The sequence below is a fragment of the Homo sapiens genome, chromosome 8 (assembly GCF_000001405.40).
Source record: "Homo sapiens chromosome 8, GRCh38.p14 Primary Assembly".
NCBI lineage: Eukaryota > Metazoa > Chordata > Mammalia > Primates > Hominidae > Homo > Homo sapiens.
This window is the reverse complement of record NC_000008.11, coordinates 77439985-77450047: the sequence shown is the minus strand read 5'-3', so window position 1 is coordinate 77450047 and position 10063 is coordinate 77439985.

Genomic DNA, 10063 nt, shown 5'->3' with positions numbered 1-10063 from the left:
ATTATACTTTAAGTTTTAGGGTACATGTGCACCATGTGCAGGTTATTGAATTGGAATCTCGCTGTGTCACCCAGGCTCAAGTGCAGTGGCAGGATCTCCACTCACTGCAACCTCCGCCTCCCAGGTTAAAGCAATTCTCTGCCTCAGCCTCTTAAGTAGCTGGGACTACAGGTGTGCACCACCACGCTTTGCTAATTTTTGTATTTTTTTTAATAGAGATGGAATTTCACCATGTGGGCAAGACTGTTCTCGAACTCCTGACTCTAGTGATCCACCCGCCATGGCCACCCAAAGAGCTGGGATTACAGGAGTGAGCCATGGCTCCCGACCTAAAATTTTAATAATAATGAATATATCAGAACAAGGCAATACTTCGTTTTAAGATTTATTTTCTTGAGAAATTGCTTGTAATTAATAAATTCATCATAGTTCACTTCAAATTCACATAATCAAAATAAGGAAATTGTTCGTCATCCAAAATTTCCCCATAGAAATATGAACAGGATTTCTGGATAAATGTAAATGTAAAGGTATATATTTATTTTCATGGAAAGAATTGTAAAGTTTTCTAGTCTTACAATGGTAATTTAGACAATACAGTGGAACAGCTAGATGTACTACTTTGTTAAGTAGAGCACTATTTTCCCTAAATGTCAGAAAAAACTGTTTAAAATGGCTTTCTGCCATGTATCTTTCAGGAAGAACATTTACATAGGCAACATATTTTTGATAGTAGTTGCACTTTATGAATTGAAATGAAAAGGTATCCTTTAAATTTCCCATTCTCATAAAGAATTACGTTCACTATTTTGTAACACTTTTATTCAATAGAAAGTCTTCTTTTTCAATAAACAGAGACTTTTTCCTACTGAACTTCCAGTGATATCTGAAAAACATAACTACAGTTCTGTTATCACACACAATTTTTATTTTTTTAAAAATAACACACACAGTTCCAATAATATTTCTTGTTAATACATGTTTTCTCTGTAAAGCATTTACTCAATTGGCTAGTGGCTTTCTTCAGACTTTGAATTTATAATTTTCAAAAGGCAAATATAGCAATTAAGAGCCTGGAAGAAATCCCTCATCAAATTAGAATCAACTGACAAATTTGGACCTTAGCTAATTAACTATACTCTTAAAAATTTTGCTGAGAAATGAACTCAATTTAAACTTAAATTAATTAAATTAAATATATTCTAAAACTTGAAAACTCGAAACCTATTAATTTCAGTTTAGTGGGTTCAATACAACCAAGTCTTGCCTTCTGACCTGATATATGTCTCACCCCAAGAAGTTATGCAGTTAACATTACAGAGTACAAGGATTATGCACTAAACAGTACCAGATACCATTAACTTGGCCTAATAAAATTATATGTAGTGCTGTTATAACTGAAGCATAAATAAAAGTGAAAAAAACAAAGTAGTCCTTTTGTTTCCATAGTGTGATTAAATTGACTTAGTAAAAAAAAAAAAAAAAATCTTTTTCTCAAGCAGTGAATTGTTTCCCTTGCAGATATTCACTAAACTGGTCCCTACTAGCAATTTTATCGTGGTGTGTTTTTGAGATTTTTTGTTTTAATGTTCCACAATTCCCCTCTGCACGAATTCTTGTTTAGCACTTTTCAAAAACCCAAGGAATTAAAAGGCCTATTTTATTAAATTCTTTTCAAAATGTTTTTTGTTAATATGTGAAAGATTTTAAGGTCAAGGGATCTATTGTAAAAAAAAAAAAAAAAGGTGAATATAGTCAATTCCAACGTCTTGTATTCTTGAAGATTACTAAGACCGTGGATTTTGACTGTTCTCACCACAAAATGATTAGTATGTGATGCCATTGTATGTCAGAACTTTCTGTTGCACATAATAAATATATATAACCATGTCAATTAAAATTAAATGATTTTTCTAAAAAGTTCAGAAAGATGAAAATATTTATAAAATGACAAACACCAAATGTTTCTATTGAGAAACTTTGAGTGAGATAAAGACAGTGCTATACTAATTAGTAGGAATGTTAAGCAATTTTGTATAGATGACTTTTGCATAAACAAAGGATATCAGGTGATATGCAGTTGAGAGGGTGGTTATTTTATTTATACCTTATAATAACCTTTATTGCTGGGATAAAAATAAGACATTATTTTCCCAGTAAAAAAATATTGTTATGCCTGTTATTGTGGTGTACTTATTAATTATTGACAGTGCCTTGCTTGGAATATAAAATTATATAGTTGGTTAATTATTAGATCCCTTTTGTGTGGAAAGGGTACCAAGATTTAGAGAAGCATTTTGAGATAATGAAGGTAAAATATTGTCAGTGAGAGAAAACTCTGAGTCCTCATAGAATTTCCAGACATGCAGAAATAGAATGAAACAGAATGACTGGTTTTTGAAGTGCAAGGGGAATTGTATTTATTTATTTACAGTTTTTTTGGAAGATCTGTCACTAGGCTAAGGGTAGATTTAGACAGCATGTGATGTGTACAGGAAGACCTGACGGGTCTTATTAATCTAGTATAGTCATCTACGAAGCAAAGTGAGCAAAACCTAGTTCATTGATGTTGATTTGATCTTGATTTTTCCATTTCTTCTTATGTTTCACAGTGTGTTTAATGTAATAGTTCCATAGTGCTCCATAGGTTTTAAATTAAAAAAAAATAAGTTGAAGACCTGATTGCAATATCTATACTGATGGGGCTTGGCAAACAAATTGATTTTGGCAATCTTCATCTAACATATGGGGAGTGTTTGTTAGGCACTGTTAATAGTCTGGAGACTAAGACAATATAATCTTCTCATAGTCTGTGATTTAAACACCCAACAACAGTGCCTAAAATATTTTGACTTTTTTTAAATACTGAGTCTTGCCCTATAGTCCAGGCTGGAGGTTATTAATATTATACAACAATGAAAATAGCATCATGTGTACAACTTTTTTCCAATATTTGTTTTTGGTTCTATACATAATATTATCAGCTAAAAAGTCTTCTAAACAGAGTTTCCTTGTAATAATACTCAAATTTTGTTCCTGTGATCTACTGAAATACTAAAATGAGAAAATGGAGATGAGTAGTCGTTTAGGAAAATACTACGTTAAGTGCTTAAAAAGTCATTAGAGAAACAGCTAAAATTTTGCAAAAAAAAAAAAAAACAGTATGTAACAATACACTTGAAACAATACACATGAAACAATGTGGTTTAACATATTATGTAAGTCCTTGGCATGGTAGATTTTTAAAAATTAACTACGTGGAAAGCATTACAAATTTAAATTTTTTATTGTTTTTATTATTATTATTATTATACTTTAAGTTTTAGGACTTAATTTTAAAATATTCATATTCCTGGCCATCTTGAAATTTAAGCCAGATTATATGAGACACATGATGCATTTTCTAACATACCTTCCAGGATGATTATTCTTTATTCTTCTCTTTTTGAAATAGATGGTGGGACTATAATGTTCATGTATATTGAATTTCTGGCTCTCTTAATAGAGAGAAACCACAAATTTGCAATTTCTGATTCATGGCACTTTTTCAGCATGGAAAGTTTCTATTTTCACTTATAAGGAAATATAAGCTGTAACTTTTTGACACGTTTACTACAGAAATTTTTTTTACTTTCAATTTATCAGGCTAAAGTCTTCAAACCTCAACAGAAAGCTAGCATATAGAAGAGATAATGCAAGTGCATACAATTTATTCTCTATTGCCAATTTCATACCAAATACTAAAAACAAAGCGAATAAAATCACATGAACCAAATTTAAGGACCCACAATTTAGGGCCTACCACGACAGAATGAGTTTATGTAGTTGCAAAATTAAGCCTAAATATAATTTTCATAGACAATGTAGGAAGTTTTTTGTGAAAGTGACAAAGCTCTGAGACAAGGGCCTATATAGGAAGAGTGAGGTAAGTTAAACAAGTATAATTAAGTCAAACTCCTCATGACATCATGTGTAACTGACCCAGTTATCCTAAGAATCTTTACATTTCCATGTTAAAGGCTAAAAAGAAGTCTCCAAATCTTTGAATGAAAAACTGAATTAAAATGTTCTGAGTAATTTATGTCCATTTTAAACCTACTTTATCTGTGTCAATGAAATATACATACCAAAAATTATCAGTATTTTGCTCAAAGAAACATAACTTCATATACAATTTTTAAATGACTGTAATAAAAATATATCATTTTTACTCAAAATGTCATTATTACAATTAGTTAAAATAGAAAGACCATTAACACAATTAATGTTATATGGTACTACTGTAAATAAGTCATTTTAAAAGCAAAGGTTTTTACCATTTGAGAAAAGAGAATGATTTTTATTCTAAACTTATCTGTGTCTTGCTACAACCAAAGACTGTCAATATAAAATGGTTTTATCATGTACTAAAAGTGTAAGTTGGATAATGAGTCTGCAGTCTATGATGTTACAAAGGTAAATATCCAGACAAATTCATAGACACTCATTTTCTGGACAGGCACACTTAATTTATTTATTTAAGAAAAAACAAATAAACAAAAATGCAATAGTAGTAAACATATTTACTATAGTAAGCCTCAAAAATATTAAAATGTTGAAAAAAAGATCATCTTTGAATTGTGAAAATATGGTATACCTTTTTATGTTTACTTGGGTTGCTGTTTTTTAGAAGGTCCTTATTTAAAATGTACATTTGCACAGATAAATAAACTATTATTTCTAGTATGTGGAGTAAAAATAATATAAAATCATATATTTTATGACTTACTATTAATCTGTTCAAGTTGAACAAAGAGCCATAGGTTCAGATGCTGGGCTGCCACTGTCTGTGTGCATGCCCTTAAATAGCAGGTCACTTTCCTCTTCTGAGGAATAGTCTCTAGTCTGTACTGAATGAGCTGTAAAATCTCAGCGCTATCTTTAAATTGGGAAAGAATGGAAGTGACAGAATTTTTGGCTAGATTTTCTTCTTTGGGAGTGAATCAATCTAATTTTCTGAAGCAGTCATTTGGCAGGCAAAGCACTATATCTGGCAATAAATAAGTTCATGGTCAAGGTAACTAGAAGGAGATGAGGGCTTTTTGCTGGGGCTATCGGAGTTGGGGAACTGGAGCACAGAAAGAGGCATAGCACAGAAGAAAACAAAAGAGAGGGAGACATACACTCTAAACCAGGTAGACATTCAGCTACACTGAAGGATGGGTTAATAACAGCAGGAGGCAAGAAATAACTTGTTTACTGCTACTGGGAAGAGAACAGAAAATGCCATGTTGAGGTGGAAATCCACTTTGGGCCTACAAGCAACTTCTAACGCAAAAATGCATTCTCTCCCACTGATATATTTTCTAATTTAACTCCTGGGATATAGCAAAAATTAGGTATGTAATTTATGATTTGATTTCAAATGAACAAAACACACAATATGTTGTCTTTTGGGGAGAGAGTAAAACACAGCATTGGTGTGCAAGCTCTGAATCTATCCTGCTTAGCTATAGTACTAGCTTCAAAATGTACAAGTTCTTGTGAACTAGGATGAGTTAATTAAACTTCAAATTTCTCACCTGAAAATAAGGATTAAACTGACACAATGATGTCACTGTGTAGATTAAATAAAATAATATTGTCAAATAATTTAACACAATAATCTGCACATATTAAATGCCTTTTAAGACATTTCTATTATTTCCCAAAATAATTGTTTAACAACTTCAAAATCGTAACTAATTTCAAAAATAGAGTTAAATATACTGAAATAGGTATAGTGGAAATCAAAGATGAACACATCTCTGCCCATCAGGAATACACAGATTTTTGGCAAAGAGTTTTCAACTGAAATTTTGCTGTTATTATTTAGCCACTCTGGAACAGGGAGCTAGGAGAGAAGTCCAGCATTTCTAGAATTAAAGTAGAAACTCCTACAAATATCTAGTGCTATTCAGAAGCATTGGTCAAAGGACACGTGATCACACTTACATAGGAGGAAAAAAGTTCAAGGGACAGATTGTAGAGCATGGTGACTACAGTTAATGACAATATATTGAGTTCTTGAAAAATGTTAAGAGAATGAATACTGTATTCTCACTACAAAGATGATAATTATGAGAAGTAATCCCTTTGGTAATATACTTAGATTTAACCATTCCACTGTGTATATGTAATTCAAAACATTATGCCAGCATGATGAATACCTAGAATTCTAGGTTAATTTAAAAATTATTAAATTTGATGAGAGAAGCATTATTTGTCAAGTGGTTTCTTTACAGCTGGTAACAATTTTTATATGAACTGCTATTTTACTTTTGAGTCAAAATAAAATAATTGGTGAATTATTTTATTTTGATTCAAAACTAAAATAACAGTTTATATATATATACACACATAAATGTGTGTATATACATATATATATACCCACACATAAATGTGTATATATACATATATATATACCCACACATAAATGTGTATATATACATATATATACCATAAATATGCGCTATAATTCTGTATACTTACCTATATATCCATTTATGTATGAGTGTGTGTGTGTGTGTGTGTATTTATGAAGGCATATATATGTATCCATTTATGTAGGTGTATATATATTTATATATAGTAGGCATAAATATATAGGTATGTATGTAGGTATGTAGATGGGTAATGTAGGTATATATACATATCTACATATATATCTACCTATTTACATATATATCTACCTATATACATACACACATCTGCATATATATGCATCTACCTATATGGAGATATATACATTTATGGTATATATATATATATAGGTATACACATACATACATTTATGTAGGTGTATATATACCTTCCTAAATATATAGGTAGGTGTATGTACATACATATATATACCATAGGTGTATACCTACATAAATATATTTCTAAATATATAATTTTTTTTATTTCATTCTCTCTTCATTCCATTCATTCAAGAAAGAAGCATAAAAATTTAAAAGCATTTTGTCCTCAATAAAAGTGCAAACACATGTCAAAATTTGGGGGATAATATTATAGTCGAATTTAGAGGGAGATTTATAGAACTAAATAGCTATGTTAGAAAAAAAATGTTCTCAGATCAGTTACCTCATTTTCCATCTTAAGAACTAGAAAAACAAGAGTAAACACAGGTATAAATAATTGGAAGAAAGAAGATAATAAAAGCAGAACAGATATCAACAAACTAGAAAGTAAAAACAAGAGAGAAAAATCAATAAAAATGAAATACAACTATTTGAGATCAATAAAATTAACAAACCTCTAGCCAGACTGATAAGAAAAAAAGAGAGAAGATAAATTACCCATACCATGAATCTTAAAAGTGACACCTATGGAGAGTTTACAGTTACTTAAAGGAAAATAAGAAATTAGTATAGAAAATGTTGTGCCAATAAATTCAAAAATTTAGAAGAAATAAGAAAATTTGTTGAAAGACATGCACTACCAAAATTCCTTCAAGAAAATATAGATAACCTATACAGCCTTATATGTATCTATTAAATGAAATTGTTGAAACATTTGTCAAACAAACCAGCAAAAGACCTTATAAGTGGCTTCCTGAATAAAATGTTCTTAATTAAAAATGAAACTATATCAATTCTAGAAAACTCTTCCAGAAAAACTGAAGGAGAAATACTTCATAATTTATATTTTTGAGGCCAGCATTAACCTGATACCAAACTGATAATATTACAAATACAGAAAACCACAGACCACTGTTCCCCATGAAATTTGACACAAAAACTTCTAACAAAATGTTGGCAACTTATTTGTATAAAGTGATTGCACATTAATACCAAGTTGGATTTACTCCAGTAGTGCAAGCTTAGTTTAACATTTGAAAATAATAGAAAAAGAAAACACTTAAAATTCATATGGAAATACAAAGGCCGCAGATTGCCAAAGCAGTTTAGAGCATAAAGAATAAAGGTGGAGGAATCATACTACTTGATGTCAAAATACGTGAAAAAGCTATAGCAATCAAAACTGCATGTCACTGGCATAAAATCAGGCATGCAGACTAATAGAACAAAACAGAGAAGCTGGAAATAAATCTGTGCATTTACAGCCAACTGAATTTTCACAAAGGTGCCATAAACATACATGGGGGAAAGGACAGCCTCTCTTATAAATAAGTCTGGGCAAACTGGATATTCACATGTAGGAGGATAAAACTAGATTCCTGTTTCTCATTTTATACAAAGATCAACGATTTAAGACTTAAATATAAGACCCAGAACTATGAAACTACTAGAAGACCACATAGGGGAAGTGTTTCATGAAATTAGACTGGGCAAGAAATTTTTTAATAAGACCTCAAAATCACAAAAAAAAAAAAAACAGAAGCAAAAATAGACAAATGGGATTACATCAAACTAAAAAGCTTCTGCACACAGCAAAAGAAACATTCAATAAAGAGACAATCTACAGTATGAGGGAAAGTATTTGCTAACTATGCATCTGAAAAGTGGTCAATATATCTGAAAAGTGGTCAATATCCAAAATGTATAAGGAACTCAAGCAACTCAACAGTAAATGAACAACCCAATTTTAAAAAAATAAAGAAAATATCTGAAGAGACATTTCTCAAAAGGTGACATACAAATGGCCAACAGATGTAGGAAAATATGTTCAACACCATCAATAATCAGGGAAATGCAAATTAAACCCAAAGTGAGATATCATCTAATATGTTAAAATTACTATTATCAAAAAGACAAAAAATAACAAGTGTCAGTAAGGATATATAGAAAGATATGCACTCTTGATGAAAATGTACATTAGAACAGGCATTATAGAAAGGGTTGCAGATGTTCCTAAAATAATTAAAAATGAAACCATTGTAGGATCCAGAAATCCTATTGCCAGGTATATATCTAAAGGAAATAAATCAGTATGTTCAAGAGATATCTGCATTCTCATGTTTATTGCATCACTATTACTGATTAATAAAGAAAGAAAATTACACACACACACACGCACACACACACGTACACAGAGATAATGGAATACTACTCAGCCAGAAAACAGAATGAAATTCTGTTTTCATTTGCCACGACATGTATGAAACTGGAGAAAATTATGTTAAATGAAATGTCAGATACAGAAAGACAAACATTGCATGATCTCACTCATTTGCATAATTTTTAAAAGCTGATCTCATGGAAGGAGAGAATAGATTGATAGTTACCAGGAGTTCAGAAGGTTAGAGGAGAAGAGGGCAGGAGAGTAAACTGGTCAACAGGAACATAATTACAGATAGGTTAGAGGAATCAGTTCAGTGTTATATTTTACAATAGTATAACTATAGTTAACAATATAATTACATTTTAAAATAACTATATTAAAAAGAAAAGAGGGTTTTTTATGTTTTCATCATAAAAAGCCATAAATGTTTTAGGTGATACATCAGCTAATTACCCTGATTTAATCATAACACAATGTGTACATGTATTAAAACATTATCCTATAAATATGTACAATTATTATGTTTCAAAATAAAATGTAAAGAATTATAAAACTGCAGTAATGAAAACATTGTAATATTGGACTAAAGACAAACATAAAGAATTATAAAACTGCAGTAATAGAAACATAATATTGGACTAAAGACATAGACAATGGATCAATGCACATGAACATATGTGTGTGTGTGTATATAAATATATATATATATGATCAATTGGTTTTAAGAAAATTGCAAGGGCAATTCGATGAAGAAAATTAAAATTTCTTTAACATTAAAATTATAATATAAAACATTATAATATTGGACTAAAGACATAGACAATGGATCAGTGCACATGAACATATGTATGTGTGTGTGTGTGTGTGTGTGTGTGTGTGTGTGTGCATATATATACGTTCAATTGTTTTTGAGAAAATTGCAAGGACAATTCAATGACTAATGTTAAAGAAAATTAAAATTTCTTTAACATTAAAATTGTCTTTAACATGATGCTGGAACAAGTGGTTATCCATTAAGTAAGAAACCTCTCACATCACATGCAAAAATTAGTTTAAATAAAAATAGACCTAAAGATGA